Consider the following 17,171-nt stretch of genomic DNA (forward strand, 5'->3'; position numbering starts at 1 on the left):
AGCTACTTAACTTCTCTCATTCTGCATCCTTACCTGTACAATGGTGTTAATAGTACATGACTTGTAGTGTTTTTGTGGTACATTGATGCAGGATTTAAGCACAGTGACTGACAATAAGTGCTTAATGAATGGAGCTAACATTACTGCTATTTTAAAGTAACATTTTCTTTTTATAACCAAATTAATGTTAGAATCACAACGTGGAATTCAGCCTAGCTTTCTCATGATAGAGTTATGAATTGAAATTATCAGATAATATTATTTCAGCATCAGATACAACTTCTTATTTTTTAAAACACTCTAAATCCAACAGAAACTGCTAATAATTGTATTTCTTATTATATGTATCATTTAGAAATTTTCCAGAGTGATTTTCCTGAAATCCCTAGAGTGAACCCCTTTTCCTATGGATCGTCTTTCTATATCTATTTCTTTCCCTTCTCTCTTAAAAACTAGGAAGAAGGTCGTGGTCAAGGTTTCACTGACGGGGTGTACCAAGGGAAACAGCTTTTTCAGTGTGATGAAGATTGTGGCGTGTTTGTTGCATTGGACAAGCTAGAACTCATAGAAGATGATGACACTGCATTGGAAAGTGATTACGCAGGTCCTGGGGACACAATGCAGGTCGAACTTCCTCCTTTGGAAATAAACTCCAGAGTTTCTTTGAAGGTTGGAGAAACAATAGAATCTGGAACAGTTATATTCTGTGATGTTTTGCCAGGAAAAGAAAGCTTAGGATATTTTGTTGGTGTGGACATGGTAAGAAAATTTTGGATTAAATATCTTTGTGATATATATATTAGTTTATATATATATGTATATATATATATAAACATATATATACACACATATATATACACACATATATATGTATAGTTTATATATATATGTATTAGTTTTAGGACCAATTTACTTGCAAATTGAACACTTTGAATATTTAACATGATCTAATTTGGAGTACTTTAAAGAACATGTTCTAATTTATCTTTGGTAAAGGAGCATTGAAATAGAACAGGGGTCTAGATACAGATTACATTTACTTTTTTTTCCCATTTGAATAAACTAGAATAATGTTCTCTATCTTTAAATTTGCCTTATTGTAGCTGACCAGTAGACAAAACAAAACAAGACAAAACACAATTATATTACTTGAAGTCCTATTTTTCTTTATTTTGAAACAGTTTTTTGGGGTACTCCATTTTTTTGTGATATTCTACACAATTTAATGGCTGATCTGATTTTAATAATTAGTATAATAATCATTTATAGAAAATACCTGAGTAGAGGAAAACCACATTGATTTTGAGGAATAGACAATCAGAATATCTCATAGGATTTCATTCATTTTAAAAACCTTTTTTAATTGTGGTAAAATATACATAACAAAATTTATCACTTAAGCATTTTTAAGTGTGCATACAGTGGCATTAAGTGTATTCACATTGTTGTACTGTCACCTGTTCATCTCCAGAACTTTTTCATCATCCCAAACCGAAACTCTGTGCCTGTTTTAACAGTAACTGCCCACTTTCCCCAACCTCTGCTAACCACAATTTCTTCTGATTTCTCTGTCTGAATTTGCCGGTTCTAGGCTCCTCATAAGAGTGGAATCATACAACATTTGACCTTTTGTTTGTGTCACTTATTTTTAATGTTTCCTTACAATCATACTTTTTAATAATGGATCCATTCCAGTGTGGTTCATTGGATTATACCTGTGGCACTGAAAGAATAAGAAGAGAAAGGCTGAGACCATTTTTATCATATATTGAACATATGGGCAAGACTTTGTTATGTATAAAGAAGGAAATTCATATGGAATTACTGAACACTAGAATGAGTTAGGAGGCGATGTGAGTAGTAATCTCTTATACTCACAATGGGGATGCTTTTAGTCATCATTTTTATCTGCTCAGGTATACTTTTTGGTTGGTAAGGTAATGTTCTAGTGTAATGGTTTCCTGTGCTTGAAAATTCCAGGAAATTCTATCTGATACTCATTGGTTAGTTACTAAACAAACGTTTACTCTTAACATGTGAAAAGTTAGAACCAGAGTAAAACATGTATGCCCCTCAGGATAGCTGACAGTAAAGCACTCCTTTTAACCAATATTCTTTAAATAGTAATTCAGTCTTTATTTCAAGGAGAATTGTGGCCTTCATGGAGGGAAGATTGGAGAAAGAGGGCCACTGGTCATTGGGGTTGGTCTCCCCTTGCATCAGGCTCTTTACCTTGGGCCTCAAACTTGGCAGAAGCTGTTTAGGGTTTAGGCCTTGCCTTTTTCAGATGGCGGTCTGGGGTCAGCTTGTTTACCTGAGGCAAGCTGCCTAGAGATTTGCCCTGCCAGCTTCTCTCCTTGCCTCCATCTGTCCCATAGCTGACTTGTGCAGATATTCATTCCAAACACTTCTATTATAGTCCTTAAGAGGAAAGTTCTGGCAAATGCTAGAACTTCTTTCTTTATCTCCTTTTCCTTCTATTCATCCTTTATTTCCAGGGACATTTTAGCATGCCATGCACATTGGTGCCCAGGGCAGTTGTCTGACTGGCCCGTCTACTGATGTAGTTCCCTGTACAGCACAGTGCTAGTTGGCACTATATTAGAATATCAGATAATTAAATATAAACATCTCCATCTTGGAGAAGATTCCTATATGCTCATAAATGACAAAAGAACAATTAGAAAATAGACTTTTTATGTACAGAAAGGCATACAGAAGTTCAGATGGACTATTTAAATGCTCAGGGAATATGAAGAACTTAGGGCTAATTAGAGGCAGGTTTCTGGGTGAAATAATATATTATTAATGAAACTTCCTGTGCAAAATACTGTCTTTTTAAACCTCAAATGGGTGTTATCCTACAGATTAGTATTTATTGTTCAGTAAAGTATGAAAAAAACACTTTCAATTCTTTGCTTATCTGGGGGTTTACTATCACTTGGTTATTCTTGAATCTCATTTCCCTAAAGAAAAAAATGAACAAACCAATGAAAAAAGCAAAACCTTATTACTATGGCAACTATTCCTAATGTATTCTTTCTTTCTTTTAGGTAAAATTGTTAACATTTACCAATGTAAAATATTTTGGAGGATTCTTTATGGAAAATACAGACTTCCACATTTACATTTCATTGAGGAGGATTTTAATGTTTATTATTTAATTTCTAGGATAACCCTATTGGCAACTGGGATGGAAGATTTGATGGAGTGCAGCTTTGTAGTTTTGCGTGTGTTGAAAGTACAATTCTATTGCACATCAATGATATCATCCCAGGTATGTTTTCTTTGTTTTATACATTTATAAGGCAAACTTTATTTTTTAATTTTTTATTTTTTTATATCAATATGTTTTGGGGGAACAGGTGGTGTTTGGTTACATGGATAAGTTCTTTCGTGGTGATTTCTGAGATTTTGGTGCACCCGTCACCCGAGAAGTATACTCCGTACCCCATGTGTAGTCTTTTACCCCTTGCCACCCCCCATTCTTTCCCCCTGAGTCCCCAAAGTCCAATGTATTATTCTTACACCTTTGAATCCTCATAGCTTAGCTCCTACATATAAGTGAGAACATACAGTGTTTGGCTTTCCATTCCTGAGTTATTATACTTCTCTTAGAATAATAGCCTCCAATTCCATCCAGGTTGCTGTGAATGCCATTATTTCATTCCTTTTTACGGCTGAGTAGTATTCCATGGTGTATGTATATATATACACACACACATATGTATATATATATACGCATATATACATATACACACATATATGTATACATATATACACACATATGTATATATACACACATATATACATATACACACATATATGTATACATATATACATATATATGTATATATACATATATATGTATATATACATATATATGTATATATACATATATATGTATATATACATATAGATATGTATACATATACACACATATATACATACATATATACACACATATACACATGTGTATATATACACACGTGTACATATGTGTGTATATACACACGTGTACATATGTGTGTGTATATACACACGTGTACATATGTGTGTGTATATACACACGTGTACATATGTGTGTATATACACACATATGTGTACTACATTTTCTTTATCGACTTGTTCATTGATGGGCATTTGGGCTGGTTCCATATTTTTGCAATTGCAGATTGTGCTGCTGTAAACGTGCATGTGCAAGTATCTTTTTCCTATAATCACTTTTTTTCCTTGGGTAGACTCCTAGTAGTGGGATTGCTGGATCAAACGCTAGAGCTACTTTTATCTTTAAGGAATCCCCACACTGTTTTCCACAGTGGTTGTACTAGTTTATATTTCCACCAACAGTGTAAAAATGTTCCCTTTTCACCACATCCATGCCAACATCTATTCTTTTTTGATTTTTTGATTATGGCCATTCTTGCAAGAGTGAGGTGGTATCACATTGTGGTTTCGATTTGCATTTCCCTGATAATTGATGATGCTGAGCATTTTCCCATATGCTTGTTGGCTATTTGTATATCTTCTTTTGATAATTGTCTAAAAGTGGGCTAATGTCCTTAGCCCATTTTTTGATGGGATTGTTTTTTTCTTGCTGATTTGTTTGAGTTCTTTGTAGATTCTATATATTAGTTCTTTGTAGGATGTATAGATTGTGAAGATTTTCTCCCACTCTACTGATTATTTCTTTTGCTGTGTAGAAGCCTTTTAGTTTAATTAAGTCTCATCTATTTATCATTTTTGTTGCATTTGCTTTCGGGTTCTTGGTCATGAAGTCTTTGCTTAAGCCAATGTCTAGAAGGATTTTTCCAATGTTATCCTCTAGAATCTTTATGGTTTCAGGTCTTAGATTTAAGTCTTTGATCCCTCTATAAGGCAAGCTTTCTAATATATATTTTGAGTACATAAATGTAAGCTTCAAGATATATTTTTAGAACTTGACTTTTATATTATGGAATTGTTATTAAATAGGATATCCTTTACCCTCAAATGAAAATAATTAAGATTTTTGTTTCCAGACGTATATGAGTATAAGGGTGGCATTAATATGTTTTCATTCACTTTTTCATCACCTGTCCATTCTTAGTGGGGGAAAAACCCTTCCTGTTAATTAGAAGGATCGGAAAATGTAATAAACTGCTACCTGAGTGAGAGCTTGGTTTAAACTAGAAGGCTTTACACAGACATTGGTCATCTAATCTAATCTAATGTACTGTGGAGAAGATTCTTGCTGGATAACCTGTGAGATCCCTTTTAGTTTTGAGAAGGTGTGATTGATCAGGGATCAGGACTCTAGTCAGAAATAGATTGCTCAACTTTACATTTAGAAGAAAAATCAAGCAATCTTTTATTTTGCCTCTAACAAGTAGCACCTAGTGTCTGCTGTCAGGTAATTGACAATTTCTGTTGATAACAGCATCAACAGTTTCATCCCCCTGCTGTTAGTGGAACTCTCTGTGATACAGGCTAGTGCAATAAAGCCAACAGTGGCAGTCAGAGATGGTGATTCTCATTGAGCATTATGCAAGTCTGATTAAAATGTCAGAAGGCCTGCAGGCAGACTGTAGCCAGGAATGTACCAGGCCCTGAGTTAGACGACTTAATACTTTTTTACATTCTTAACAAACTTATAATGTAAGTCTTAATGATCCCCATTTCGCTGATAAAAAGCTGGGGCTCGGATGGACAACAATTACCAAAATCAAAGTAAATAGTAGAGCCAGAATTTAAATCCACACCTGTCTGATTAGAAAGCTGTGCTCTTTTCAGTACCTCCCCACCCCAAATCCTATCTGTATATTTAGGATGTGAAGACCTGCATAGAAAACCATACTTCTCAGTCTCACATGTATACTTGGGAATATTGTTTCCATGGAGATATATTTTGTCTCTAATTCTATAAAAGCTGAATTTTGCTATAGCAAGGATCACAATTGAATAAGCAAACTGAATTGTTTTTTTTTCAGGTCATTTCAGGTCCTCAGTTTCTTTTGTTGTAAAAATGAAAGGGCTAATACTAGATGATTCTTAAGGTTCCTTTTAGCGTGCACTGTTTGCGCTTCCTGTTTTCCTGTTGCTGAAGCAAGTAATCAATGCTTGTTTTTCAAGTTAGGGCATGCTTTCTGCTTTAGTTTTTAGCTTTACAGCAACAGCACATTAATTTAGTTGGAGGTATAGGATTCAAATGATAGCTTTATTTCAATTTTACTTCTTCAAAGTGTGACATACTTTGCTTTACTTGATGTTTGTAAAATCAATTTTTAATTTATTGCAAATTGAATTCCTAGCTATTTTTTATTTTGCTTCCCTTTGGGAACAAATGATTTACATTCAGGAAAAAGCATATATGTGCTTGATATTTTACTTGGCAAAATTTAATTTAGTTTTTCATGATTTTTTTTTTTGAGACGGGGTCTCGCTTTGTCGCCCAGGGTGGAGTGCAGTGGCGTGGTCTCTGCTCACTGCAAGCTCCGACTCCTGGGTCCACGCCATTCTCCTGCCTCAGCCTCCCGAGTAGCTGGGACCACAGGCGCCCGCCACCACGCCCGGCTAATGTTTTGTATCTTTAGTAGAGATGGGGTTTCATCGTGTTAGCCAGGATGGTCTCAATCTCCTGACCTCATGATCCACCCGCCTCGGCCTCCCAAAGTGCTGGGACTACAGGCGTGAGCCACTGCGCCCGGCCTAGTTTTTCATGATTGTTAATGGAGATAATACAATTTATTTTATGAATTAAAGTACTTTTAAATATTATAATAAATGCTTATGGTTTACAAAACAGTTTAATAAAAGGCCATTCCTTCATTCAAATATTATTAAGCCCTTACCTAGATGTTGGGGATATAGTAGGAAGCAAAACTGGTAAAAATTCTTCTCGTGTGGAGTTTTCATTCTAGTGAGTGGAGACAGACAGTAAATATGTAATGTGTATGATCAATTACATGATAATAAGATGAAAAATGATAAACACAGTGAGGAGGAAGGGAGCACTAGGTTGTAGGGCGGGATTTTTCGATTTCATGTAGGGTAGTTCTGATAAACCTTCTAATAAGGTGACATTTGAGCTGTTGACATGAAGGAAGTTTGGGAGAGAACATGTGGATTCCGAGGGAGAGCCCAAGGCCGCAGCCAGCGTGGCCAGTTTGAGCAATGTGAAGAGTTGACTGTGGCTGCGGCAGATGGAGTGAGGGAGAAAGTTGTAGGAGCCGCAGTGGGAGCTGGAACAGGTAGTGCTCAGTGGGCTGTTGTGTGGATTCTTGGCTTTCATAGTGACAGAGGTGGGGAGCTATAGGTGGGTTTTGAACAAAGGACAACTCACCCTAATTTGCATTTTTAAATGATCTCTCTGGCTGCCTGTTAAGAATAAACTAGACAGAGGACAGAAACAGGGAGACCAGGAAGGAGACTGTTGTAGTTATCCACGTGAGAGACGGTGGTGGCTGGGACTGGGGTGGTATGAAGAGGATGGTAAGTGAAGGATTTGGATATAATGTAAAGATCCCATCAAGATTTGCAGATGGGTTGGGTGTGAGGTTTGAGAGAGAGAACAGAATCAAGGATGATTCCAAGGTTTGGACTGAGCAACTGGTAGGCTGGAGAGGCAATTTACCCAGGTGGGAAAGACAACAGGAAGAGCATGCGTCGGGGAGTGGGAGTTGGAAGTCAGGATCTTGGTTTTGATCATGTTAAAATTGAGTTAGCTATTAAACAATTTCATTTGAATGTTTATGTTAATATTATACGAATTCATGTTTAATCCTTAAAAATGGGCAATGTGCTCATCATTTTCATATTTAAGAAACTTTTGGCTGGGTGCAGTGGCTTATTCCTGTAATCTCAGCACTTTAGGAAGCCGAAGTGGGCAGATCACGTGAGGTCAGGAGTTCGAGACCAGCTTGGCCAACATGGCGAACCCCCCCGTCTCTACTAAAAATACAAAAATTAGCCAGGCGTGGTGGCGGTCACCTGTAGTCCCAGCTACTCAGGAGGCTGAGGCCAGGAGAATCGCTTGAACCTGGGAGGTGGAGGTTGCAGTGAGCTGAGATTGTGCCATTGCACTCCAACCTGGGTGACAGAGCGAGACTCCATCTCAAAAAAGAAACTTTTTACTGTAGAATGTATTTGCAAAAGTATATATAACAACATATATTAAGAATAATAATGAACACTCATGAAACTGACCATCTAGGTTAAGAAACAGAACATTAGAAGTACCTTGAAAACCACCTGCAATACCTTGTTTTCATTATAATTGCAATCTCTCCCTAGAGGTGACCATTATTCTGATTTTTTCATTAATTATTTCCTTGCTTTTTATAATTTAATTATATCTCTGTAGCTAAACAATATACTGTTTAGCCTGCTTTTGAACTTAATGTAGTTAAAATCTTACTGATTTTTAAATTACTTGCATCATTTACTTAAAATGTATTTTGAGATTCTTTTCTGTGGATGAGGGCATTAGTAGTTTGTTCACTCTCACTGCTTCATAGTATATTTCGTCATGTGACTATCCCACAGTTTGGTGCCCATTGTAATATTAATGGACGCTTGGGTTTTAGGTTGTTTCCACCTCCTTTTCCACACTTGGTACTGATTAAAATTTTTGCCAGCCTGACAGCTGAGAAATGGTATCTCAAGGTGGTTTAAAAGTTTGTAGTTCCCTGATTACAAGTAGGATTGAACAGCCTTTTATATGTTTATACAACATTTGTGTCTTCTATTAAACACGTATTTTTTGCCTGTTTTTCTGTTGAGTTGCTCATTTATTGATTCATGAGTTCTCTAGTTTTAGAATTTTAATAAAACATCTTTTAATGTTTTGTTATGACATTTTAAACAGAAAAACTGAAAATTTTATATTGAGCATCCTTATGCATATCATCTAGATCCTACAATCAACATCTTACTTGCTTTATATGTATCTGTCCACCTCTCTATTCACGTACTTATCCGTCACGTTTTCTTGTGCATTTCACATTAAGTTGCAGATACCAGTTCACTTCCTCCTAAATACTTCAGTGTGCATCTAATTAACTAGAGATAAGTATTTAGGGTTTTCTTTTTCATTTCAGATAGAAGTCACACATATAATGACATACATATGGATTTATTTGGGTTCTAACTAATATATATATACCCTTGAATTAGAAACCTCTATCAAGTTATTAAAACAATTTTAAGAAGAAATCATTCATGTATCTCAAATCAAAATTAAAAAGTACAATAAAATATCTCATTTCCATTTTTATCCCCTCTGCCTCAGTTGCCTGCTTACTCCATCCTTCGTTTCTCACTAGTCACAGTTTTTATGAATTTCTTATATATCTTTCCAGTGTTTCTTTATACAATATAAATATTCTTATTCCCCCTTCCCTTTTAATTCAAGAAGTGTAGTAGATACACTATTCTGCTGTTTGCTTTATTCTCTTAATTTTATATGTTAGAACTCTTTGTATATTTGCAAACAGAGGTTCTTGTTTTTTATAGTGTATAATTTTCCATTGTACGGAAAAAAATTTCATAATTTATTTAACCAGTTTCCTATCAATGGACATTTGGGTTGTTTCTGACTTTTTGATATTGCACACAATGTTACCGTAACCTGTACATGTCTGTTTCCCACATGTGCTAGCATATCTGGAGGATATATATATTCCCAGAAGTGGAGTTGCTTGATGAAAGGGCGTATGCGTTGGTATTGTTCTGGATATTGTTAATTGCCTTCAGTCGTAGATATAACAATTTATATTCCTGCCAGTAGAATACAAGGGGGAACTTATAGCTTTCCCATGAGAGTGTGTTACTAACTTTTTTCCCAATCTGATAGATAAAAAATATATTTCAGTGTATATAATACATTTGCAAATAGAAATTTGCATTTCTCTGAGTGATGTTGAACATTTTTGCATATGATTAAGGGCAATTTTTCTTTCTGTGAACTGTTTGCATCTGTTGCCTATTTTTAAATTGGGTTAGGTTATTGGCCTTTTTTCTCACTGATTTCTTCATGTGTTAGGGTGGCAAACTCTTCTGTGATGCGAGATGCAAATGTTGCCCACTCTTCCACCCTCATTTGTCATTTGTCTTTTTTTAAAATTGCTTATTTTTCTGGTCACCCTCATTTGTTTTTATTGTGGTAAAATATACCTAACAGGATGTACCATTTTAACAATTTTTAAGTGTATAATTCAGTGTAAGTATGTTTACAGTTGTGCAACCATCACCACTATCTATTTCCAGAAATCTTGTTCATTATCCCAAATAGAAACTCTATACTCATGAAGAGATAGCTGCCGGTTCCTCTTTCCCTCCAGCCTCTGCTCATCTCTGTTCTCTGCTCTCTGTCCTTATGACTTTGCTTACTCTGGGTATCTCATATTAGTGGAATCATACATATGTCCTTTGGAGCTGGTGCATTTCACTTGGTGTGATGTTTTTGACTTTGGTGCTTTTTGCCTTGCAGGATTTATAAAATTTTTATGCTGTTGTATTCTTTTAGTTTTAATAGATTCTGGATTTTGAGTTACTGTAAGGTTATAAAGGAATTTCCCTGTGTTTTCTTCTAGTACTCTGTGGTTTTAGTACATATCTCTATATCTATCTATCTATCTATCTATCTATCTATATCTTTGACCCATTTCTGTTTTATGTGGTATATGATGTGAAATATAAATCCAATCTAGTTTTTATTTTTGCCCACAGGTAGAAGATACCCTGTTGTCTTAGTATCATTTATTAAAAAGTCCCTCTTTACTGGTTTGAGAGGCCACTTTCATCATACTAAATTTCCACGTGTAGCGTGGTATATTTCTGGACTTTCTATTCTGTCTTCCCACGTTTCAATACCACATTGTTCTTAATGATTTTTAAAAAATTGTATATATTCATGGGGTACAAGTGTAATTGTGCTACACTACTGTATTGCATTGTGGTGAGGTCAGGGCCTTCAGCACATCCATCACTGGAGCAATGCACATTATACCCACCAAGCAACCTCCCATCATCCACCCCCCGCCACCCCAAGCCCCCTTTATTCATCTTTCCACACTCTGCTTCCACGTGTGATTCTTTATGTGTTTTAATATTATTAACACTAGTCTCCTCTCACTGTTCTTTTGAATTTTCCTGTTCTATACTGTTTTCAAAATAGTAGTCTTCTTGATAGTTTTGCGTTTTTACATTTAAGTGTGTTATTCACTTAGATTTGGTTTTGAACAGGATATGAAATATGGGTACAGATATCCAATTTGACCTTCCATGCTTGCTGCGTATAAATCAAGTTTCCAGATGTACACGTGTGGATCTTTCTGAGCCCTGTCATTTCCCTACACTAAAGCCTATCCATAGCTTTAGAAGTCTTGGTAGCTGTGAGAGTACATTTCCATTGTTTGTTTTCTTAATGAATGTCTTGGCTATTGTTAGCCTTTGGGCTTCATTGTAAGTTTAACTATCAGCTTCTCAAATACTATAAGAGAGTTCTGTTAGGATTTTGGAATTGCAATTAATCTGTAGAACAATTGGAGGAGAATTGACATTTCTATGATATTAAAACTTCTAATATATAAACCTTGTGTATCCTTTCATTTATTTAATTTCCTTTTGGTAAAATTTTATAATTTTCTCCATGAAGAGCTTACTTGCATTTTGATGCATTATAAAGCATATTTTCTAACAGTGTCATGCTGATGTAGAAATACAATTGACTTTTTTTTTAGAAAACAGCTTTACTGAGATCTAGTTTATAATTCACTCAGAGTGTACAAATCAGTGCATTTTAGTGCATTTACAGACATGTGCAATTGTCAAGATAATTTTAGAACATTTTCATCACCTCTAAAAGAAACGCTGCACCCCTTAGTGATCATCTCCCAAACCCTTCATCCTTGTTTAGTCCTAAGCAACTACCAGTCTACTTCTGTCTCTGCATATTTGCCTTTTCTGGACATTTCATTTAAATGGAATCACATTATATGTGGTCTTTTGTGATTTACTTTTTTCACTTAGCATAATGTTTTCAAGGTTCCTCCATGTTGTAGCATGTGCCAGAATTTCCGTCCTTCTTAAGGCAGAATAATATTCCATTGTATGGACACATCACATGTTGTTTATTAATCAGTAGATAGATATTTAGGTTTTTTTTTCACCTTTTGGCTAAAATGAATAATGCTGCTACAAACATGCATGTACAAGTTGTTGTGTGGACATATGCTTTTGTTTCTCTTGGGTTTATATCTAGGAGTGGAATTGCTGAGTCATATGATAACTCTATGTTTAACCATTTGTGGAACTGCCAGACTGTTTCCCAAAGCAGCCACACCATTTTACATTCCTACTAGCAGTGTGTAAGCGTTTTGGTTTCTTCATGTCCTTGTCAATACTTGTTATTATCTGACTTTTTTATTCTAGCCATCCTAGTGGGAATGAAGTCATTTTCAATTGACTTTCGTGTGCTGATTTTTCTTACAAACAGACTTACTAAAATATCTTATTCACAATCCATGGATTACTTATAAAATATTCAGTCATTATAGTTTGCACATAATAACAGTTTTGCCTCTTCTGAATTCTTTTATTTTTAAAAATGGTTTCTTACTGTCCTAGCTAGGACCTCTAAATACAATATTGAATAGAAGTAGTGATGGAAGGCATCTTGGCCTTTTTTTCTGATCTTAAAGAAAATGCTTTCAACATTTCATTATTAAATGTGATGTTTGCTATAGAGTTTTATTGTTGTATCTGTCATTTATCAGGTTAGAGAAGTTACCTACTGTTCCTAGTTTTCTAACAGTTTTATCATGAATTGATGTTGAATTTTATCAACCCCTTTTTCTCTATTGAGATAATCCTATTTTCTTTTAATCTGCTAATTTTCTTATATTGAATCAACCTTACATCCATGATGTAAACCCAACCTCCTCATGATTCATACTTTGCTTGGTCCAGTTTGCTAGTATTTGCATCCTGTTTTTAAAATCTCTGTTTATAAGAGATATTGGCCTATACTTTTTCCCTTTTAGCTGTCCTTGTCTGGTTTTGGAATCAAAGTCGTGCTTGTCTCATAAAGTACCTGGGAAAGGTTTCTTTTATTTTGTTATTTGAAAGAGTTTATGTGAGATTAGAATTACCTATTCCTTGACTATTTGACAAAGCTTCTTTTTGTGGAAATGTTTAGCTACTGATGAAATATCCTTTAACATTTGTTTGTTTTTGATTGTCTTTTGCAAGTTTTATTTTTTATGAATGTATCCATTTAATTCATTTTCAAAGCTTTGGGCATAATGTTGTTTATAAAAGCCTCTTAATTTTCTGTTCAACCTCAGCAGCATCTGCCCTTGTGTTCCTATTTTCATCCAAAATGTTAATCATTTGTGCTTTCTTATATTCTTCACCAATCTTACCAGTGGTTTCTGACTTTCATTTTTTCAAAGGACCAACTTTTGGCTTTCTTAATTCTTTCTAGATATACTTGTTATTGTTTAAAATATGCTACTATTTTTACTGTGTAACTAGTGCATTTTTTAGGTCTAAGCCCGTAGTTCTCAGCCTGGGATGCTTTTGTCTCCTGGGGACATTTGGCAGTGTCTGGAGATTTTTGATTGCCACATCTGAGGTGAGAGTACTACTGGCCTCTAATGCATGGAGACCAGTGATGCTTCTAAACTTCCTACAGTGCACAGGGCAGCCCTACACAACACAGAATTATCTGGTTCAGAACCTTAGTAGAACTGAGCTTGAGACACTGTGTCCTAAGCAAATTCTAGGAGTTATGCTCATTTTATAATGTTAACTTGCTGGATAGCTATGGGGGAATCACTTGAAAAACAAATTTTCTTTCATTATTTATGTATTCTTGCAGGGATAACCAATTCTATGCTAATATTGTTTTTCCCAGAGTAACATGGCTAAATGTAATTTCACTTGTCTTACGAAATCAAATACAGGCATACCTAATTTTATAGCGCTTTTCTTTATTGTGCTTCACAGATATGTGTTTTTTATTAATTGAAGGTTTGTGGCAATTCTGCTTTGGGCAAGTCTGTCAATGCCATTTTTCCAATAGCATGTGCACACTTCGTGTCTCTGTGTCACATTTTGGTAATTCCTGCAATATTTCAAACTTTTTCATTATTATTATATCTGTTATGGTGATCTGTAATCAATGATCTTTGAGGTGACTATTGAAATTGTTTTAAGGCACCACAAACCACACCCATATAAGATGACAAACTCCACTGATAAATGTTGTGTGTATTCTGACTGCTCCACTGACTAGTGGGGCCTCTGTCTCTCTCACTCCTTGGGCCTCCCTATTTCCTGATACCCAAAAATATTAAAATTAGGCCAAGTCATAATCCTACAATGGCCTCTAAGTGTTCCAGTGAAAGAGAGAGTTGCATATCTCTCACTTTAAATCAAAAGCTAGAAATGATTAAGCTTAGTGAGGAAGGTATGTTGAAAACCGAGAGAGACTGAAAACTAGGCCTCTTGTGCCAAAGTTAGCTAAGTTGTGAATGCAAAGGAATATTTCCTGAAGGAAATTAAAAGTGCTACTTTAGTGAACACATGAATGATAAAAAAGCAAAACAGCCTTATTGCTGATATGGAGAAAGGTTTAGTTATCTGGATAGAAGATCAAACCAGCACATTCCCTTAAGCCAAAGCCTAATCCAGAGCAAGGCCCTAACTCTCTTCAATTCTGAAAGGCTGAGAGAGGTAAGAAAGCTGCAGAAGAAAAGTTGGAAGCTCGCACAGGTTGGTTCATAAACTTTAAGGAAAGATGTCATCACCATAACAGAAAAGTGCAAGATGAAGCAGCAAGTGCTGATATAGAAACTGCTGCAAGTTATCAGAAGATCTAGCTAAGTTAATTGATGAAAGTGGCTACATTAAATAAAAGATTTTCAGTGTAGGCAAAACAGCCTTCTATTGGAAGAAGATACCATCTAAGACTTTCATAGCTGAGATGAGTAGTCAATGCCTGGCTTCAAAGCTTCAAAGGATAGGCTGACTCTTTTGTTAGGGGTTAATGCAGTTGGTGACTTTAAGTTGAAGCCAGGATTCTGAAAATCCCAAAATCCTTAAGAATTATGCTAAATCTACTCTGCCTGTGCTCTATAAATGGAACAACAAAGACTGGATGACAACACATGTGTTTATAGCATGCTTAACTGAATATTTTAAGTCTACTGTTGAGACCTACTGCTCAGAAAAAGGATTCCTTTCAAAACATTACTGTTCATTGATGATGCAACTGGTCACTCAAAAGCTTTGATGGAGATGCACAAGGAGATTAATGTTGTTTTCATGCTTGCTAGCACAATAACTGTTCTGCAGCATATGGATCAAGGAGTAATTTCTATTTGCAAGTTTTATTTAAGAAATACATTCTGTAAGGCTGCCATAGATCAGGATTCCTCTGACAGACTGGGCAAAGTCAATTGAAAACTGTCTGAAAAGGATTCACCATTCTAGATGCCATCAAGAACATTCATGATTTATGGGAGGAGGTCAAAATATCAACATTAACAGGAGTTTGGGAGAAGTTGATTCCAACCCTCATGGATGACTTTGAGGGACTGAAGATTTCAGTGGAAAAAATAACTGTAGATGTGGTGGAAGTAGCAAAAGAGCTAGAACTAGAGGTGGAGCCTGAAAATGTACTTGACTGAATTGCTATAATCTCATGATCAAACTTGAGCGGATGAAGAAAGGAAAAGTGGTTCATTGAGATGACATCAACTCCTGGTGAGGATATTGTGAACATCGTTGAGATGACAACAAAGGATTTAGAATATTCCATAAACTTAGTAAAGAAGCAGCAGGGCTTGGGAGAGGATTAACTCCAGTTTTGAAAGAACTTCTATTGTGAGTAAAATGCTATCAAGCAGTATCACATGCTACAGAGAAATCTTTTATGAAAGAAAGAGCCAACTTCATTGTTGTCTTATTTTAGGAAATTGCCACGGTCACTCCAACTTTCAGCAACCATCACCGTGATCAGTCAGCACCCATCCACACTGAGGCAAGAGCCTCCACCAGCAAAAAGACTATGACTCCTTGAAGGCTCAGATAATCATTAACATTTTTTAGCAATGAAATATTTTTAAAATTAAGGTATATACATTATTTTCAATAACATAATGGTATTGCACACGTAATGGACTACAGTATAGTGTAAACATAGCTTTCATATGCACTGGGAAACAAAAACACTTGTGTGACTTGCTTTATTGTGATATTTGCTTTATTGTGGTGGTCTGGAACAGAACCTACAATATCTCCAGGGTGTGCCTGTGTGGGTTTGTGGGTTTCAATTTTTTTTTTTTTTAATTTCCATAGAGTACTTTTGAAAGCTCAAAAAATAATTAAAAAAAAAAGCATTTTAGATTGAAAGTAACCGTTCTCTTTACCTACCTTAATTGCATTTCTTTGAATTTTACATTTTACAACTGAATGCAATTCATTATACTGAATAAGTTAGGAGACTAGGGAAATCATTAGTTTAGTATTATAATTTAAGATTGAGATACCTGAACTATGAAGTTGGCTTATGTATAATTGATTGTTTTTCTCAGTTGGCTGTAGAATAAATACTTGAAGTGCTTTCTCCCACACACACACTCTAGAGCTGTATTTCCTTCTGTCTATTTTTTCCACATCTCAATTTGGTTTGAAATGTAAATTATCTTGGGTTCTACAGTAGCACTTAAAAAGCAAAGCAAAGAAAAAAACCACCCTTTCTATTTTTCCTGGAATATAACCTGACAAGGAATTCTTCATTAGTAGTATTTATCTTAAAAACATTTACGGTTTTGTTTTATTAAAATATTGGTGGAGGATTGAGATAATTAAAATTAGTTACATGAATATCTTGGGCGTCACTTGTCAGGCACACTTTGATCTTCTAAATCAGTAGTTATCATTGTCATTATTGCTGGCTCAGAGCAGTGAAGAGAAAGAAAAAGAATGATATTTTTTTTTCTTTTAAAGCTTGATTTTCATAAACCCTCAATAGGAGATAATTAAGAATGATACCAGCATTTATAACATAATACATAAATTACACTTATTTGTCAACAAAATAAAGCTTGCAAATAGACTTTAAAAACTAAAGTTGTTTAAATGAAAATTAATTTAGTTTACTTAAATGAGTCTTCATCTGCCTT

General features: G+C 35.2%; 1 protein-coding gene across 26 annotated transcripts in view; it reads left to right on the forward strand.

Moving 5' to 3' along the window:
* Nucleotides 1–17,171, forward strand: part of CYLD (CYLD lysine 63 deubiquitinase) — a 59,850-nt gene that overhangs the window by 9,062 nt on the left and 33,617 nt on the right. For 24 of the 26 annotated variants that reach the window (XR_007064858.1, NR_166071.1, XM_047433656.1 and 21 more), the window contains 2 exons: nucleotides 457–759; nucleotides 3,172–3,277. Coding sequence is in view for 24 of the 26 variants with exons in the window: in XM_047433656.1 (XP_047289612.1) it covers nucleotides 457–759; nucleotides 3,172–3,277 (409 nt within the window). In the remaining 2 variants the exon portion in view is untranslated. The remainder of the gene's footprint in view (nucleotides 1–456; nucleotides 760–3,171; nucleotides 3,278–17,171) is intronic. The other 2 variants (NM_001378754.1, NM_001378755.1) reach the window with 1 other exon arrangement.

The sequence above is a fragment of the Homo sapiens genome, chromosome 16 (assembly GCF_000001405.40).
Source record: "Homo sapiens chromosome 16, GRCh38.p14 Primary Assembly".
In the NCBI taxonomy this organism is placed as follows: Eukaryota; Metazoa; Chordata; class Mammalia; order Primates; family Hominidae; genus Homo; species Homo sapiens.